Source organism: Homo sapiens, chromosome 6, assembly GCF_000001405.40.
Source record: "Homo sapiens chromosome 6, GRCh38.p14 Primary Assembly".
NCBI classification, from domain to species: Eukaryota; Metazoa; Chordata; class Mammalia; order Primates; family Hominidae; genus Homo; species Homo sapiens.
In genome coordinates, this window is record NC_000006.12 from 27,528,800 (window position 1) to 27,548,571 (window position 19,772).

At 41.0% G+C, this 19,772-nt stretch overlaps 4 non-coding genes across 4 annotated transcripts, besides 4 other annotated features; 2 read left to right on the top strand and 2 right to left on the bottom strand.

The window, feature by feature from the left end:
• The first annotated feature begins 3,408 nt into the window (after window positions 1–3,408).
• TRS-AGA3-1 (tRNA-Ser (anticodon AGA) 3-1) lies at window positions 3,409–3,490 on the top strand. Its single transcript has one exon. It is a non-coding gene; the product is annotated as a tRNA-Ser (tRNA).
• On the bottom strand, window positions 12,976–13,057 carry TRS-AGA1-1 (tRNA-Ser (anticodon AGA) 1-1). The gene has a single exon. It is a non-coding gene; the product is annotated as a tRNA-Ser (tRNA).
• Window positions 13,035–13,084: a silencer, noted in NCBI's record as "silent region_17030". NCBI's record gives its function as "represses an Ori minimal core promoter by ATAC-STARR-seq in GM12878 lymphoblastoid cells {active_cell/tissue: GM12878}" and the evidence as "EXISTENCE:reporter gene assay evidence [ECO:0000049][PMID:35858748]".
• Window positions 16,598–16,737: an enhancer, noted in NCBI's record as "active region_24291". NCBI's record gives its function as "activates an Ori minimal core promoter by ATAC-STARR-seq in GM12878 lymphoblastoid cells {active_cell/tissue: GM12878}" and the evidence as "EXISTENCE:reporter gene assay evidence [ECO:0000049][PMID:35858748]".
• Window positions 16,758–16,807: an enhancer, noted in NCBI's record as "active region_24292". NCBI's record gives its function as "activates an Ori minimal core promoter by ATAC-STARR-seq in GM12878 lymphoblastoid cells {active_cell/tissue: GM12878}" and the evidence as "EXISTENCE:reporter gene assay evidence [ECO:0000049][PMID:35858748]".
• Window positions 16,890–16,971, top strand: TRS-TGA2-1 (tRNA-Ser (anticodon TGA) 2-1). Its single transcript has one exon. It is a non-coding gene; the product is annotated as a tRNA-Ser (tRNA).
• Window positions 16,908–17,037: a silencer, noted in NCBI's record as "silent region_17031". NCBI's record gives its function as "represses an Ori minimal core promoter by ATAC-STARR-seq in GM12878 lymphoblastoid cells {active_cell/tissue: GM12878}" and the evidence as "EXISTENCE:reporter gene assay evidence [ECO:0000049][PMID:35858748]".
• TRQ-CTG2-1 (tRNA-Gln (anticodon CTG) 2-1) lies at window positions 18,953–19,024 on the bottom strand. Its single transcript has one exon. It is a non-coding gene; the product is annotated as a tRNA-Gln (tRNA).
• Window positions 19,025–19,772: the final 748 nt, after the last annotated feature.

The following is a 19,772-nucleotide window of genomic DNA, read 5'->3' on the forward strand; positions in this document are numbered from 1 at the left end:
GATTAATGTTGTTGAGCACATTTTCATATGCATATTGGCCCTTTTATGTCTTCTTTGAAGAAATTGTTCAGATCCTTTGCACATTTTTCATGAGACTGTAGTGCTGCCAGCTGTGCTCAGAAGGTAAGTCTCTTTGACCATTTTTTAATCAGGTTATTTGTTTTTCTGCTATGGAGTTATAAGTGTTCTTTATAAATTTTGAATATTAACTCCTTTTCCCCAGTCTGTAAGTTGCCTTTTTATTTTGTTGATTGTTTTCTTTGCTGTGCAGAAACTTTGTAGTTTGGTGTGGTCCCATTTATTTATTTTTGTTGTGTATCCTGGACATTTGGCATGATATCCAAAAAAATTATTGCCAAGGCCAATGACGAAGAGCTTTCCCCCTGTTTTCTTATGGAAGTTTTGTGTTCAGGTCTTACATTTAGGTGTTTTATCCATTTTGAGTTGATTTTTGTGTATGGTATAAGAGTCTAATTTCATTATTTTGCATGTGGAAATCCAGTTTTCCAAGCATCATTTATTGGAGATTCTTCTTCTTTTTTTTTTTTAATTCTCTATGTCTTTTTTTTAATTTTTTTTTTAATAGTATTTATTGATCATTCTTGGGTGTTTCTCGGAGAGGGGGATTTGGCAGGGTCATAGGACAATAGCGGAGGGAAGGTCAGCAGATAAACATGTGAACAAGGGTCTCTGGTTTTCCTAGGCAGAGGACCCTGCGGCCTTCCGCCGTGTTTGTGTCCCTGGGTACTTGAGATTAGGGAGTGGTGATGACTCCTAACGAGCATGCTGCCTTCAAGCATCTGTTTAACAAAGCACATCTTGCACCGCCCTTAATCCATTTAACCCTGAGTGGACACAGCACATGTTTCAGAGAGCACGGGGTTGGGGGTAAGGTTATAGATTAACAGCATCCCAAGGCAGAAGAATTTTTCTTAGTACAGAACAAAATGGAGTCTCCCCTGTCTACTTCTTTCCACACAGACACAGTAACAATCCGATCTCTCTTTCTTTTCCCCACATTTCCCCCTTTTCTATTCGACAAAACCGCCATCGTCATCATGGCCCGTTCTCAATGAGCTGTTGGGTACACCTCCCAGACGGGGTGGCGGCCGGGCAGAGGAGCTCCTCACTTCCCAGACGGGGCGGCCGGGCAGAGGCGCCCCCCACCTGCCAGACGGGGCGGTGGCCGGGCGGGGCCCCCCCCCCACCTCCCGGACGGGGCGGTTAGCCGGCCGGGGGCTGCCCCCGACCTCCCTCCCGGACGGGGCGGCTGGAGATTATTCTTTCCCCCATTGTGTCCTCTTGATGCCCTTATCAAAAATTAGTTGGCAGTATATGTTTGAGTTTTTTTCTGGGCTGTCTATTCTGTTGCATTGGTCTGTTTCTGTTTCTATTCAGGAATGATTATGCTGCTATCAGAACAATATGTCTTGATTATTTTAGCTTTATAATATAATTTTAAAGCAACAAGTGTGATGCCTCCAACTTTGTTTTTCTTTCTCAGTATTGCTATGGCTATTTGGTGCATGTGTGTGTGTGTGTGTGTGTGTGTGTGATTCCATATGAATTTTAGGATTATTTTTTCTACCTCTGTGAAGAATGTCCCTTTGGAATTTTGATAAGGACTGTACTGAATTTGTATATTGCTTTGGATGGCATGGACATTTTAACATTATTAACTATTCTAATTCATGAACATTGGATATCTTTCCATTTATTTATGTTGTCATTAATTTCTTTCAACATTTTATAGTTTTCAGTGTAAAAATCTTTCATCTCCTTGGTCAAATTTATTCCTAAGTATTTTATTTTTTGATGCTATCATAAGTGAGATTGTTTTCTTGATTTGTTTTTCAGTTAGGTCATTATGTTTATATAGAAATGCTACTGATTTTTTTATGTTGATTTACATATTATTTTTAAATACCCTTGGTGGGCCCTAATGCAAGTCTTTAAAAATGTACAAGGATTGAAATGACACAGAATATATTCTGTGGGCCCAGCATAATAAAAATAAAATCAATATCAGAAATAAAATGGAAAACCCCAAAATGTTACTAAATGAAAAAACACTCATCCAAAGCCATAGCTTAAAGAAATCACATTTAGTTAAAATGAAAGATAAAATAAGATATATAAAAATTTGTGTAATGCAGCTAAACTGTGCCCAAAGTCTAATTTATAGTTCTACTTGCATATATTAGAATAAAGATGTTTCAATATTTGATGTTAAAGCTTTTTTCTCAATAATTTAGAGGAAAAGAGCAAATTAAAATGTTAGAAACAAGATTATAAAAAGATAGAACACACACACACACAAACAAACAGAGAATATCAACAAAGCCATAAACAGGCATTTAGGGATGATTGACAAAACTATTGTTCTAAATCAAGGATTGTTCAACAAAACGAAGAGAAAACAGAAAATACTAATACCAGGAATAAATATAGGATAACATTACATTTTAGTATATAGACATCAAGAATATACTAAGAATACAGTATGAACAATGTTTTGTAAATAGATTTGACAATTTAGGACAGATTTCCTTCAAGAGATGATTTACCAAAACTGACAGAATAAGGAATTAAGACCTTGAGTTTACTCCTCATCTCTCTTTCTTCTACCTGGAAACCACACTAAGTGAGTAAATCTACTTTTTGTTTCCCAGAATCGTTAGTGAAGCTCAGATAAGCATTCAAAGGGCATTTAAATAAGTGGGGACTTAAAAAAGAAAAAAAAAAGGTAGTAAAAATCTACCTTTGATTTGAGATGCAGGGGGAGTCCTTTACTGGAGGTCAAAGGGGGAGTTGTCAAGGGGAAAAGATGAAGTTTCTTAGAGGCAATACCAGGCTCTCAAACTGACAATAAGTGGATTTCTAGTGTATCCTCTTACTAAGTGTAGCCTCTTACTGGGCTACCACTGAAATACTAGTGCATTTCCTTTCAGTAAATAGAAGTGCATCTCATTCCTTTTATCAATTGCAGAATCTTCCATTATATGGATCTTCCAAAATTTATTTTAAAAGTCAAACATCGATGGCCATTTGAGGTTGTTCAAATCATTGCTATAACTCAAAATTCTGCAGCAAATGTTAGAGCTTGTCGCAATTGTTGCGGGTGTTTCCTGGAACACCATCAGAAGCGGATGGAGCAGGAAGCTTGGTCTCTGGGAATGCCTCCCCGCGTAGTCTCCTTCCATCAAAACATCAGAATAAGGGGTCCTCCTAGGTCCGAGGATAAAGTGTTACTTGTCAGTTTACCACAACAGCATGATAGTCATCTAACTGATGTCAAAAAATAAGAAACATTGACAGCGAATACACTTTTTGGCAGAAAATTTGACCTTTCCAAGGGAGCTAAAGTTCAGTACAGTGACTTATGCTAATGGACAAAGTGTCCTTCACGTAGTCGTGGCCGAGTGGTTAAGGCGATGGACTAGAAATCCATTGGGGTTTCCCCACGCAGGTTCGAATCCTGCCGACTACGGTCCCTTTCTTGTTGGAAAGGGAGTCTACTGACACCTTGCCAGATTGAAAGTCCGGTGTCTTGCCAGGTTGAAAGTCTGTTATTGTCTCTCAGGAAGAAGCTTGCTTGTTCCAACCTGTAGGCTTTTCCTCTTTATGGACCCACTAAAAATACTCCATGTCTCTGAAACAATGAGGAAAAGTCATACAAAAAAAAGTACTTCTATCACAGTCGTATTATTGATGTTTTCCTTTGCCCTAAGAAGAGCTCAGGGTGATGTTTTTCTGTTTCCTGAAACAGATGCCCCATTTTGAAGACAGCTTTCCTTAGAGAAAAAAATTGCTAGGAGTGTTTGTGTCTCACAGAATTGTCCCCTTATTAGGGATCTTCTCCAGTCAAGCAAATGCCCTGGTTTAACGTAGAAAAGGAAATTCCAGGAAATCCATGATCAAATACAAGAGAAAGTGGCACACAGGCATGGTCACCAAGATGAGAATCTATATTGGGCATTTATAAGCAAACCACTACATAATAAAAGATTATTGAGTAAAGCAATTTTTTACATAACCCAATTAAAAAAAAATCAACCATGTCAAGTGGAGTGGCCTGTCCTGGGGTCCAGGACAGTGGTGAAGCAAGAGTGACTAAAACCGAGGTGAGGTTGCGATTATATCCTGAGCACAGAAAGAGCCCCAGCTCAGATGCAGAATCTCATTGTGATGAACAATTATGGGTTAACGCATTGACCAAAAGAATGTTGACCACAGCTGAGTATCTTCCTAGGAATTCCTAGGGGAATTCACGCATCACTGCCTTGGCAGCTTAAGTGGAGCTTGTCCTCACCTCTCTTCTGCAAATCTTCAAAGAGTTGTGATTTATTTTACCTCATCCAAGAATGATTCTAATATTTTTTCATAAACAGAGTGCCGGCCCTGTTCATTGATAAAATACCAGATCCTTTCTTCTTTTATGTGTCTCTTTAGAGCACTGCATTTCAAAATTAGTGGGGCAGTGAGAGTAAACTGCCACAAATCCTCTACTGAGCAGTGCAGGCAGGAGGAACAAGACTTGTCTCAGTGTACGGAGATTCAGGTTTCCAGAGGAGGAGCCTGATCAGTTCTCCTACCCTCTCCCACATCCAGCATGCAGGTTCCTTTGATTCGGAAAAACAATCTAATAGAATTCTAGAATGTGAAAGCTAATGAAATGCTAAAGCCCTTTTGAGGAAATAATTCCTAATAGTAGAGTTAAGTATTCCATCTGACATATATGATCAGAAATTGAAAATATAAATTTGTTCAAAAAGATATCTTAAATGGGTGGGCGCAGTGGCTGACGCCTGTAATCTCAGCACTTTGGGACACCGAGGCAGGTGGATCACCTGCAGTCAGGAGTTCAAGACCAGCCTGACCAACACGGAGAAACCTCGTCTCTACTAAAAACACAAAAATTAGCCGGGCATAGTGGCGTGTGCCTGTGATCTCAGCTACGTGGGAGGGTGAGGCAGGAGAATCGCTTGAACCCCAGAGATGGAGGTTGCAGTGAGCCGAGATCGCGCTGCTGCACTCCAGCCTGGGGGACAAAGCAAGACTCCGTCTTAACAATGATAACAACAGAAACATATCTTAGAGAGGAGTGTTGGTAGCATAAATAGGAGCTTCTCTCCTTCTGGATGCTTTTTTCTGGAAAGCCCATGCAGACTCAAGTTCAGGTTCTGGGGCTGGAGCAGAGATCTTGAGCAAGGATTGATCTTACAGAATTTTGCCTTGTAGAAGAACAGCATTTGATCTAGTTTCTGAATAATGCCATCGAGTTCTAGAAGGGTTTTGTTTTGTTTTGTTTTGTTTCTCTTCCTACTACTAAGGAAGAGAAAAGATGTCTTATAGACAAGAACGTAACATGGAAAACGAGACACACTGATGGACAGTGTCATGAAAACCAGTGTTACAGTCAGTGCAGAAAAATAAGGAAACACAGTATGGTGCCCATAGTAAATAATACTGTAGTGTATATCTCTTTAAAAAAATTTCTTAATTGAAATAGAGATGAGGTCTCCCTGTGTTGCCCAGGCTGGTCTCAAACTTCTGGCCTCAAGTGATCCTCTCACCTTGGCCTCCCAAAATGCTGTGATTACAGGCATGAGGCACCTTGCCCAGCCACATAGTGTATATTACAAAATAAACAGACAAGAATGTTCTCACCACAAAGAAATGATAAGTGTTTGAGATGTATATGCTAAATACCATGATTTGATCATTATACAATGTATAAATGTAACAAATCATCACACTGTACTCTGTAAATATGTATAATTATTATGTGTCAATTAAAAACAAGATTAAAAAATAAAAAATAAAGTGAAACCACTGTTCCCTTCTGTGAATTCTTGGCTACTAAAAAATTGTCAATAAATCATGAACATGTAAAATTAATACAAAAATAAATAAAACAGGTGCATGTTTACCTAAAGCAAATAACTTTCAAGGCCTTGCCTGTCCCATACTGCTAAGGGTATTGTCAAACTTATTTTTATTTTTTTCTTTCATATTTTTTATATTTTGAGAACAAACAGTACCGCTTTAGGGATCTAGTTCTATAAGCTGACTTTTCATTGCTCCATCTTCAAAGCTCACAGAATAATGGAAGACACTCTCCGGTTTTATTTGTCTTCCACCTCAACTGTGGACTCCCTCACTGCTTGCTTGATTTTCACTAGAGGGGCTCATGAATCAGACCATGGCTTCACATGTCATTTCCTCAACTGCCTGGTTGTTCCTGCCTTTTTTTCTTTTCTGTTCTTTTCTTTTTTTTTTTTTTTTGAGATGGAGTGTTGCTCTGTTGCTAGGCTGGAGTGCAGTGGCGCAATCTCAGCTCACTGCAACCTCGGCCTCCCAGGTAAGCGATTCTCCTGCCTCAGGCTCCCTAGTAGCTGGGACTACAGGCGCGCACCACCACGCCCAGCTAATTTTTGTATTTTTAGTAGAGACAGGGATTCACCATGTTGGCCACGATGGTCTCAATCTCTTGACCTCGTGATCCTCCCGCCTTGGCCTCCCAAAGCGCTGGGATTACAGTGTTCCTGCTTTTGAGTGTGATGATGTCAAGATAAAAGGACATCACCCTTAAAGGGAAAGCATTAGAGAAAGAGCCATGGAAAACACAGAGTTTAAAATACTATTCTCATATTTCAGGTTTTATGGAGAGTTCTTTTCTAAAATAGTTTGAAACTTACTTGGGAACAGTGTTCTGTGATCCGAACTGCTAGGCAGCTCCTACAGGGTCCTTCCAAGCTCTGCTGCAAAAAAAAAATTTCCTTGGTACCAAGAAGAATAGAAGATATACCAAGAACTGATCATTATTGTACCATCAATGGCAAAGGAAAGGTAGGAGAGAGTAGCCATCCCAGATTGTTACCCTAAAGGGCAGTGGGGAGAAGCAAATGGCTTTTACTAGAGTAAAGAATCACAGGTCTCAGAATTTGACCCTACCCAGCTGGACTCCAGTGTATGCCATAGCCATGATGCAAAGACGATTTTATTGCATTGTAAATTTTCAACTGTTAAAGGAGGCATTTCCAAGTGTTCAACTGTCTGTGACTGTTTGGAAAAAAACCTATGCTGCAAAAAGAAATTTGTATTCTGTGATTCGATGGATAGTGGTCACCGGTTTAACAGAAGAAAATGTCACTGTCTTCCCTCCCCTACCCCACTTCTTGACCTTCACCCCCACACCCCAGGGAGAGTCCATACATCCCTTCAGAGCACCTTGGCCCACTTGCCCACTTGGAGGGAGACAGTAGAAAGAAGACGTTCTGGTAAGTGGGATTTTTTAAAAAGCTGATATTAAACAAAGGAGTTTAATCATTCTTACCCACAGACTCAAAGAGAAAAACATATAAAGATCAATTTTAACATTAGTTTTAGGTTACAGTGAATTTTAAATTTAATTCTGACATGCTTACAACCATCACCTTCTACACAGGATAGGCTCTGGACTCTCTGCAATCAATATATAAATAGGTTTGATCTAGCAAATCAAGGAAACATTATTCTACATAAATACAGACCAAGAATGTAGAGAAGGAAAAGAATTTCTCCAATAGAAATTTAAAAACTAGAGAAATTTAAAATTGCAACATGAGGAATACAATTTTCTCTCCTTCAGTAATTGAACTGCCTCCTCAGACCTAGTAATAGCTAGTGGCCCTGTGGGCAGCCACTTGACTGGCTTAGAGCTGTTCTAACAGAGAATATAACTTAGAAGGAGGACAAAGAATGAGATGAGTAAGAATTTGGACTAAAACAATCAGCAGATTCAAGTAAGGCAATATACTAAACTAGGTTCTTACTGTGAACTAAACATTCAATTAGGAGCTCTGAGAAGGTCATTCTTTCTATAAATAGTAGAAAACAGGCGGGACGCAGTGGCTCATGCATGTAATCCCAGCACTTTGGGAGGCCAAGACGGGTGGATCACCTGAGGTCAGAAGTTCAAGAGCAGCCTGGCCGACATGGTGAAACTCCCGTCTCTACTAAAAATATAAAAAATTAGCCAGGCGTGTTGGCGGGCGCCTGTAATCCCAGCTACTTGGGAAGCTGAGGCAGGAGAATTGCTTGAACTCAGGAGACGGAGGTTGCAGTGAGCCCAGATCACGCCGTTGCACTCCAGTCTGGGCGACAAGGCGAAACTCTGTCTCACACACACACACACACACACACACACAAACACACACAGTAGAAAATATTAAATTTTTGTGGTGGGCCAGGTGTTGTGCTTAGTGCTATAGACACAAAGGTAAACAAAACACAAGCACAGTTGCTGACCTTATGGTGATTGGTGTCTATTAGGAGGAATATTCTACAAATATAAACAAGCCCACACAGGGAGAGTTTAAGGAAACTGCTTGTGGCCAGCAGCATAATGGCACAAAGAGGGTGGAATACACAAATAAAAATGAAAACTGCAATTTCCAGGTGGATGAGCATTAGAAAGTTTGATTGGGGAAAAGTGTGAGTCTACCATTTCTCGGGTACAAGATTTATGCTTGTGGGCCTTGATCATTAAAGGAGAATGATTAATTCTGGAGGGCCACAACATGAAAGAAAAGGGAAAGATTAAGTTTAGCAACGAAATTAGCAGCATGGCTCAGATAAAGCCTGGAAAGTCATATGCTTTAGGTATGCATGTGCCTGCATTGGTCTGTGAATATCAGAAATATACTTGGACCATGGCACTGAGCACAGCAATTTCCAATAACCCTTTTCACCTTGGTATAGTAGTGAGTATAGCTTTGCCACTGGGGAAACAGATGCTTGGCCTGTCTCAGAGAATTTTGTAACAATTAGAGACATCTCTCATATATGTATTTTATGCATTTCCCAAAACAACAAAAAGCAGTTGGCAATTCTCTCTTCCACTTCATGGTCATGAAGTTATTGGGAAAGAGATTTTTAAATTCTTAAAAATTCCAAGGCACAGCCAGATAAGGTACTACATGTCTCTATAGTTCCAGCTTCTTGGGAGGCTGAGGCAAGAAGATCACTTGAGCTCAGGAGTTGGAGGCCAGCCTGGGCAAAATAGAGAGACTCCCGTCTCTTTAAAAAGAAAAATAAAAAGTCCAAGCCAAATAGGAAAAAAGGTATGAACTCTCTCACTTTACATGCCCCCTGATACAAAACAATTGGAGAAATCATTATCAAGGAGTTCACAAAAACTGTGGAAGACCATGGATGCTGAGCAGGGAATCACCTGCCTTTTGAATTTCCTTCCATGTCAAATAATTGAATTTAACTAAAAGGTTCAAAATCACCAAACATGATCTTAAACATGAAGCTGCTTTAAAAATATTACCTTTGAGGCTGGCTGCAGTGGTTCACCCCTATAATCCCAGCACTTTGGTTAGGCCGAGGCAGGTGGATCACATGAGGTCAGGAGTTCAAGACCAGCCTGGCCAACATGGCGAAACTCCGTCTCTACTAAAAATACAAAAATTAGCCAGGCGTGGTGGCACACATCTGTAATCCCAGCTACTTGGGAGGCTGACACAGGAGAATCACTTGAACCCAAGAGGCTGGAGGCTGGAGGTTGCAGTGAGCAGAGATTGTGCCACTGCACTCCAGCCTGGGCGACAGAGCAAGACTCCATCTCAAAAAAAAAAAAAAAATTGAATTAAAAAAAAACCTTTGAATTGTGGCCATATGATTCATTAATCTCAGCCTTGTAAATTAGGAGGCCAAAATTACACACCCAAAGCTGAGATCCTAGTCAAACCAGTTCTTTGAGTTTCTCTCTCTTTTCTGAGGGAGCTTATGAGTGCTGGTTCCTCGCATTACCCTTTGGGACATTAGAATGACACATATATAGGTCCAGCAGAAGGGAATAAAATAAAACCTGGCTGGTTAAGGGATGATTAAATTCCTTTTCAACCCTTACTGTGAGACCTCCACTCAGAGGAAGCCCTCAATTTAGGATATTTTTCCTTTCTTGTTGAGAAAAGAAGCAAGAGGGAGACAAAAGCAAAGTAATGCTCTTTTTCTTAACACTTTATGAGTATTCTGAATTCTGTGTAATTTAAGCCCAGATTTTTTCACTGAGTGTTATCTTGTTTGTTGTGCCACTTGAAGGTGATACTTGCCATTGCCGATTTATAAATATTTCATAAGCAGCATTTTGTTTAGAATTTCTTGTTGCTTTGGAAAACAAAAAGATACAGGGAAAAAATAAGCTCCTAAACTGTACGAGGTAAAATTTAGGAACTCCTAAAATATATAAGGTAAAAATTAAAAAAAAAAAAAAAAAAGGCCGGGTTCGGTGGCTCACGCCTGTAATCCCAACACTTTGGAAGGCCGAGGCGGGCGGATCACGAGGTCAGGAAATCGAGACCATCCTAACACGGTGGGCTAACACGGTGAAACCCCGTCTCTACTAAAAATACAAAAAATTAGCCAGGCGTGCTGGCGGGCGCCTGTAGTCCCAGCTACTCGGGAGGTTGAGGCAGGAGAATGGCCAGAACCCGGGAGGCGGAGCTTGCAGCGAGCCGAGATCGCGTCACTGCCCTCCAGCCTGGGCGACAGAGCCGGAATGTCTAAAAAAAAAAAAAGAAAGAAAGAAAGAATCAGATAAAGCCGCAATCATACTTAGAAATTTTAACACAATATATATCCCTCAGAAACTAATCAAAAAGCAGAAGAGGGAAGGAAAACAGTAAAGATGTAAAAGTTTTAAACAAAACTATTCCTGAATTTTACCTAACTTACATACGAAGAACACTACACACTTCAATTTTTTTTTTTTTTAACTCTGTTGCCCGGGCTGGAGTGTAGTGGTGGGATCACTGCTCACTGCAGCCTCGACCTCCCCGGGCTCAGTGATCCTCCCGCCTCAGCCTCCGGAGTAGCTGGGAACACAGGCGCCTGCCACCATACCCGGCTAATTTTTTTGTAGAGACGAGTTTTCACTATGTTGCCCAAGCTGATCTGGAACTCCTGGGCTCCAGTGATCCGCCCACTCCAGCCTCCCAAAGTGTTGGAATTATAGGGATGAGCCACCGCGCCCAGTGGCATCTCAACTTCCGAAGACAAGTTTCTTTTTGAAGTATACATGGAACTAAAAACAAAACAAAACAAAACAAAAAAAACTTTTGCCTTGCCGATTTTCAAGTAAGTTTCCAAAATTTGAACAGTCTGAGAGATAAATACTAGGGTCTAGCCACAGTACATTTTGCTAGACATCAATTAGAAATCAAAAATTGTGTTATGTTTAGAAGTTAAAAAGTTTGCGTATGCCGGGGCAGACGGATCACCTGAGGTCAGGAGTTCGAGACCAGCCTGACCAACATGGAGAAACCCCGTCTCTACTAAAAATACAAAATTAGCAGGGTGTGCTGGCGCACGCCTGTAATCCCAGCTACTTGGAAGTCTGAGGCAGGAGAATCGCTTGAACTCGGAGGCAGAGGTTGCGGTGAGCCGAGATTGTGCCATTGCACTCCAGCCTGGGCAAGAAGAGCAAAAGAGCGAAACTCCGTTTCAAAAAAAACAAGAAAGAAAAGAAAGAAAGAAAGAAAGAAAGAAAGAAAGAAAGAAAGAGAGAGAGAGAGAGAGAGGGAGGGAGGGAGGGAGGGAGGGAGGGAGGGAGGGAGGAAGGAAGGAAGAAAGAAAGAAAGAAAGAAAGAAAATGTGCGTATGGTTCCAAGAAGATATCTAAATGGTAATAAAAATTATATTCAAAAGAATGACATTGAAAATAATACTTATGAAATATGTTTCATGCAGTCCAAAATGCACTTGGATGCTTAAACTCTTAAATACATAATTAATAATAAAATAATATCTGAACATCAATAATCTGAGATCCATTGAAAGAAATTAGAAATTAGCAAATTTTATCCAAAGAAATCTTAGGGAAGGAAATGAAGAAGAAAATGGCTGATTTAATGCAATAAAATTGAAACATAAGATGGAGATAAGCAAAAAAAAAAAAAAAAAAAAAAAAAAAAAAAAAAAAAAAGCCAAAATTTAGTTTGGAAAAAAATAACTAATAAAGTTGCAAAATGCTTGGCTAAACTGATTGAGTTTATCCAAGAAGGCACAAGTAACTGATCTCTGATATAGAAAATGGAGAATGGGAGGTCTAACAAATAAAAAAGAAGATGCAGCAAGGCAAGAAGTGAGGATGAGCTCCACTAAGCTTCCAAGGCAGTGATAGAATTCCCCTAGGAATTCCTTAAAAAGTACTCAACTGTGGCTAGCATTCCTTTGCATTATTTAACCATAATTAATTATAATGCATAATTCCAATGCATTATTTAACCATAGTTGTTAATCACACAATGTGATTCTGCACCTGAGCTGATTATCTTTCCGTGCTCTGAATATAGTAACACCCTCACTTTCTTTTCAGTACCTCTTGCCTCATCATCGTCCTGGACACCTGGACAAGCCAGTCTGGCTTGACGTCGTCAGTTCGTTTTTATATGATTTCAAGGAAAATTGCCTTACTTAATATATTTAATTGCTTAGTTGTTTGCTTAATAAAGCCCAAGTTATTCCCATCTTGGCGACCATATCTGAGTCTTTGCTTTCACTTGTATTTGATCCTGGATTTCCTGGAATTTCCTTTTCTGTATGAATGAGGATGTTTACTTTACTGAAGTAGATCCCTAACAAGGGAACAATTCTGTGAGACACAAACACTCCTAGCAACAATTTTTAAGGAAAGCTGCCTTCAAAACAGGGCATCGATTGCAGGAAACATGATAGCATCACCTTGGCTTTTCTTGGGGGTAAAACACCAGTAAGACTCTGGTGGAATTACCTTTTTTTTTTTTTTTTTTTCAAATAAGTACACATTTTCCTCATTGTTTCAGGAAGGTGGCGGAGTATTTTTAGTGGGCATATAAAGAGAAAAAGTCTGATCAGGTTGGAACAACCAGGCTTCTTCCTGGAAGACAAAGTCAGGATATCCCATCTGATAAGGTGTTATATCCCTTTTGCAAAGGGAAACGTTATCGTAGTCGGCAGGATTCGAACCTGCGCGGGGAAACCCCAATGGATTTCTAGTCCATCGCCTTAACCACTCGGCCACGACTACACAAAGAATGCTTTGCCCATTAGCATAAGTCACTGTACTGAACTTTAGCTCTCTTGGAAAGGTCAAATTTTCTGCCAGAAATTGTATTTGCTGTCAATGTTTCTTATTCTTTGGCATTAGTTAGATGATTATCATGCTGTTGTTTCAAACTGACAAGTAACACTTTATCCTCAGACCTGGGAGGACCCCTTATTCTGACGTTCTGACAGAAGGAGACTAAGCAGGATGCATTCCCAGAGATCAAGCTTCCTGCTCCTTCAGGGGATGGGGATGCAGGAGACACCCGCAACAACTGGGACACGCTCTAACATTCGCTGCAAATTTCTGAGTTATAGCGACAATTTGAACAACTTCAAATGGCCATTGATGTTTGACTTTTAAAATAAATTTTGGAAGATCCATAGAATGGAAGATTCTGCAACTGATAAAAGGAATGAGGTGCACTTCTATAATGCTTATGTGAAATGTACTCCAGGATATACTTTTAGCAAAATAATGTTAGTCACTGACATGTATATAAGACCTCACATTTTGCAAAATACCCTCATTTATATATTTGGCCTCACTTAGTCTTTACATCATAAATAAGGAAATGAGGGGCTAAGATGAGAATGCAAACCTACACAGCACCTGAGAATTAGATTTAGATCAGTAACCTACACCTCTTAGATGATGTTCACTGCTCTTTGCTCATGGACTCTATTTGTGCCTTCAGCATTATTTCTAAGTGCTCTACAGGAGCAAAATCAACAAGATTTTAAACATGTTTCTCAGGTATCCATTTATGAAACTAAACCGGTAAGCAGTGTATGCCAACAGTAAGCCTTAAAAGGGCGAGGCAATTGTCATCATCCAATATTTGTCAGTAAGCCAAACTGTCATTTCTCTATGTACCAGGATGTTACCTTTTAAGGAGGAGTACTCCACAAATATGAAATATGCAACTGGGGGAAAATTAGCTGATCCTAACCATTTTGTAGTATCTGAAGCAAGAATCAACCTTATTAATTTACCTAGATTTATCCTGACATTTATGTGTTTTCATCTTTTTGCATTTTTCTGTGCTGGACTCTCCTTAAGATTTTTGGAAACCTGTGTTCTGAATTCCTCCCTTTCCCTGGGCTAGAGTGGCTGGAGGCTTTGGCTCTTGGGAATGGTCTCGCGTCCTTCACCAGAACTTACGGGAATCATGTTTGGCTGAAGAGTCGGAGACCTCTCCAGAGTCATCTTTTCCAGTTAGGATAGAAACGAGCCCCCCTCCTCACCTCGCAAGCCCGCGCCAGTCCAGTTTTAGCCGTTCTTTTGGAAGAGCAAGTCAGTTGAACGCCATCGAAGAGGCTCCTGATTTAGATATTAATTGTGCTTAAATGCAGATGACTCCCCACTCTCATGCGTTCCCTTATTTCCCGTTGCTTCTCCCATTGGCATTTACAGACTTGAGGTTGCTTGGACTCTCAATTCAATACTCCTTTTCTGCGGGTTCGTGAGAATTAGGTGTGAACGTGATGTCCGCGGATATCAGTGGCTAGTGGGCAAGCTCCAGCGCCCAGGAACTTTGAGTCGCTTGTCTAGGAGTCCTGTATTGAATTGCAACACTAAGTGCAATATTCTGGTTCTTGTTGTGTTCTGAAAGAGCTCTTTCACTCATGAGGAGAGACCTGCACGAGACTGTGAAGACCAACTGCTTCTCAGCGCTCCACGCATCCATTATGAGTTCACCGCAGGATTTTACCTGCAAAAATTTTGCGTAGATTAAGTCACGCTTATTGCCTCCTACTTTTGTCAGTGAACATTATGTCACAAGCATTTTCCCAGAACTATTACAGTCTTCCAGCATGTCGTTTCTAGTGGCTTGGTAATGACCTATTAGGCAGATGGAGCAATAATAATAATAAACAACTCTCATTTTAATATCTATTTTTCACTATCACAATTAGAAATAAAAATAAAGATTCCTGCATAGTATATGTCTTCCTTTGGTTAAGCTTATTTCCTGGCTGGGTGCAGTGGCTCACACCTGTAATCCCAGAACTTTGGGAGGCGGAGATGGAAGAATGGCTTGAGACCAGGGGTTTGAACAAGGAGTTTAAGACCAGGCTGGTCAACACAGTGAGGCGCCGCATTTCTATTTATAAAATATAAAACAAACAAACAAATAAAAAGATTATTTCTCTAGGAGAGCGGTTCTGAAACTTCAGTGGGCATCAGTACCAGCAGGATGACTTGTTTTTTGTTTGTTTGTTTGTTTTTTGAGATGGAGTCTCACTCTGTCTCCCAGGCTAGAGTGCAGTGGCGCGATCTTGGCTCACTGCAACCTCCGCCTCCCAGGTTCAAGAGATTCTCCTACCTCAGCCTCCCTAGTAGCTGGGACTACAGGCGCGTGCCGCCACGCCCGGCTAATTTTTTTGTATTTTTATTAGAGACGGGGTTCCATCATGTTAGCCAGGATGGTCTCGATCTCCTGACCTCATGATCCACCCGCCTTAGCCTCCCAAAGTGCTGGGATTACAGGCGTGAGCCTCCGCGACCGGAAGGATGGCTTGTTAAAACAGACTGCTAGACACCCTCCTCTTCCCCCGCGCCCCGCCCGCCCCCCACACGAACCACACCACTCCAGTTTCTGATTCTGAGATCTGAGTTCAAGCCCAAGAATTTGCATTTCTCCTAAGTTCCCAGGTGGTGCACAAGCTGCTGTAAGAGGACAAAACTTTGCGAAGACTGCCCAGGGACAAATAACTTGAAAATAAATTTACTGTTTCAAAGGTTACAAACCGTTTCTAACCTAAATTGAAGATATAGCAAATGCCCCAGTAATAAGACCAAATAATATTTGCAAGAGTCCAACGAAGGGAACACATTTCTTACTATTTTAGAGGGAAAAACAAATGTGGGCGCGCTTTCACTATCAGAGACATTGCCGGCCTCGGTCATGGAGGTCACTTTCCCTTTGTATCTGCGGGGCCGACTCACTTCCATTCCCAGAATTCCGAGACTTTCCCCCTAACTTTTGTCTAAAAAGGAATCTGATTCAAGTCTACCCCTTATTTTTCCACTCTGACAATACTGTAGTATCTGAAGCAAGAATCAACCTTATTAATTTAGCTAGATTTATCCTGACATTTACTTGTTTCCATCTTTTTGCGTTTTTCTGTGCTGGACTCTCCCTAAGATATTTGGAAACCTGTGTTCTGAGTTCTTCCTTTTCCCCGGGCTCGGGTGGCTGAAGGCCTTGGCTCTTGGGAATGGTCTCGCGTCCTTCACCAGAACTGACGGGAATTATATTTACCTGAAGAGTCAGAGACCTCTTCAGAGTCATCTTTTCCAGTTAGGACAGAAACAAGCTCCCTCCTCAGCTAGCACGCCCGCTCCAGTCCGGTTTTAGCCGTTCCTTCGGAAGAGTAAGTCAGTTGAATGTCATCGAAGAAGCTCCTGATTTAGATTTTAACTGTACGTAAACGCAGATGACCCCCCACTCTCGTGCCTTCATTTAATTCCCGTTGCTTCTCCCATGGGTATTCAGAGGCTTGAGGTTGCTTGGACTCTCAATTCAATACTCCCTTTCTGCGGGTTCGTGAGAATTAGGTGTGAACGTGGTGTCCGCGGATTTCAGCAGCTAGCGGGCAAGCTCCAGCGCCCAGAAACTTTGAGTCGCTTGTCTAGGAGTCCTGTGTTGAATTGCAACACTATGCACTATGTTCTGGTTATTGATGTGCTCTGAATGAGCTCTTTCGTTCGTGAGCAGAGGCCCTGACGAGACTGAAGACCAACTATTTCCGAGCGCTCCACTCAACCATTATAAGTTCACCCCAGCCGTCAGCGATGGCGTAGGTAGGTAGTCGTGGCCGAGTGGTTAAGGCGATGGACTTGAAATCCATTGGGGTTTCCCCGCGCAGGTTCGAATCCTGCCGACTACGGTTTTACCAGGTGCAGTTCCCGCCTTTCCTCAAAACTTACCCAAATTCTTGTACTCCATTTGCTGCTCTCCTACACAATCCTCCCACTGCATATTCAGATAATATCCTCTTTACTCAGTGAATGGAGACTACCTTATGTTGCCGTTACTTCAAAACTGGTATATATCCCTGTGATCACAGCCAGCAAGACTTCAGCCTCTCCTGCACCAAATAGCGCCTTGGTATACTCATAACTACTGTCAACTCAAAAGAAGTCAGGATTCACAAAAAGCTTTACCACTAACAGGTAATTTTCATTAAATACTTAGTACGTTCCAAGATATGAGTTAAGCACCAACAGCATATTTTTATCTGCATTTTACAGATGAAGAAACTACCCAATGCTGCACAATGAAATGATATTTTAACTGAGGACTTCCAGATGGGGTCGTGAATTCAAGTTTTGTAAATTCCACTGGGGGCACCCCCCAAATTATCAAGTTGTTAGCAGATTCAGGGTTAGATTTATTAGTACCCAAAACGGATAAATAGCAGGTCATATTTTTCAAGTACTTACTACACATCACCATCAAGGTCTTTACATGGCTTATAATTTGTAAATCCTCACAACATAGTCATTATACAGACTGGAAGGTCCACAGGCATATACATATGGCCAAGGTCTCACAGCGAGAGGGCAGTAAGTTGTAACTTGAATTCATCTCTTGATTTTGGCTCCAAGACCCCGGCACCCAACAGGCGTCTCAGTCTTCTACCTGTACTGGGAATTAACACCACCTACCTCCTATCATTCAGAGTTGGTTCACTATTCTGACTTCATCCTGTCTCTACTGGTAATGAGTCCACAAAGTGGTATGATTTAAGCCGCTGGGTTTAGCCTGGGGTGTAATATTGCTGCCCATGGGGTGTTTGACGCTTGAGTTATCTATCTATCTATCTATCCATCTATCTATCTATCTATCTATCGTAAATAAACTTTATTTATCTGTTTCTCAGAGATGACACTGCCAATAATCACAGATTTGCATACGATACTTTGATGCAGGGCGTACCGCTCATCAGTCTACGGGAGTTTGTCTGTTTTTGAGTAGGGTGTTTCTTAACAGTTTATAAAGAGCTTGCCAACATTAGACCATTTAAGCTACTGAACACTAAAGCCTGATAGCAAAAAATACTTTTTCAGCCAACAGCATTTGGATGCACAGTACGACTGGTTTGACAGAAAGGTAAAAGACTATCTTCGCCACAGAGATGGAGAGAAATTGTACTTATGCTGCATATATTAGAAGTAAGTGAGGTAAAAACAACAACGACAAAAAAAAAAAAAAGAAAAGAAAAACAACTCTACAAAGGAAAGAATTACAAAGTTGCCCAGATTTTGCATTCGTAGTAATTAAAATCTCTGCTCTCCTGCATAAAGACCCAAAGAGCAGATTCTGTTTATCAGCACTTCCTACTTCCTCCATCATGTTCAGGGGACAAAATGTTTCCGTGGACTTCACAAATTATTGAAAGAAACAATCCCTTCAGGACGGGCCCGATGGCTCACTCCTGTAATCCCAGTACTTTGGGAGATAGAAGCGGAAGGATAGCCTGAGCCCAGGAGTTCGAGACCATCCTGGGCATAACAGCGAAAACCCTGTCTCCCTCCAAAAAACAAACAAACAAAAATTTCGCTGCTGTGGTGGGGCGCACCTGTCGTCCTAGCTACCTGAGATCACCTGAGCCTGGGGAGGTCGAGGCTGTAGTGAGCTGTGATCCCGGAAAGTGGATTCTATTCCGCCTCCTTACCCAGAGGCAGATATATTGGGACTTGCATAGCTTCTAGGCCGTTTGACTAAGATCAAGTGTGCTATCGGGAGTTGTAGGAATTCATGGAATATATCAGGCCGAAAATTGATTTTGGTAATTTATGTAGAGAGCGTTTTCCCTGGGGAAAACAAAAGGTCCAGGAAGAGGATATATACATATATCTTCGAGCAGGTTCCACCGAGACTTGAACTCGGATCGCTGGATTCAGAGTCCAGAGTGCTAACCATTACACCATGGAACCCCTCTTGGTACGCTTCACCCAAATATTGCTCATGCTGGGTTATAGGCATTCTACTAAACGCATTTAATGTATCAAAGCAAAAATCCTTAGTTTATGCCCACTCAGAACACCCTTTCAAAGAAAACCCTGGGGGATCTATTTATTTATTTTTGCCGATTACATTGATCCATAAAGTCTCCCTTTCCCCTAACCCTCAATTAACTCAGAAACTTGGTGGTCCTGAGCCTTGCTTTCTTCATTAAGAAAAATTGAGCGACTTTTATACGTACCTGAACTGGACCGAACTTCTTCTATGCTTTCTGCAATTTAATGCTTAAAAGCTAGATTAAGTGGACGCTTCTAGTCCCCCATAAAAACGGGGAAATTAAGTCTTGGAGAACTCATGTCTTATCTGCAACTCTACTCAATTTCAGACACGGGATATTTTTCTCCACATAGGTGAGTTATCAGGTTTATTGCCTCTAGGAAAACAACCTTTAATATCTTGATTCCAGGGAATTCACAAAATAATTGAAGGTTCCGTGCGATCGACTGAGAATTATTTAAATTTGGCCTTCTCTCTATCAGGAAAACTAGTTGTAACAGTTAAGAAAAAAAATTACTCAAGTGAAATTAAGCATAAAGCTGCTAAAAAAAAAACTCTTTAAATTGAGGCTGCGTGATTCACTAACCTCAATATTGTAAATTGGAGGCAAATCTGCACCCACGCATGAAGCTATAATTCTGGTCAAACCGGTTCCCTGTGTCT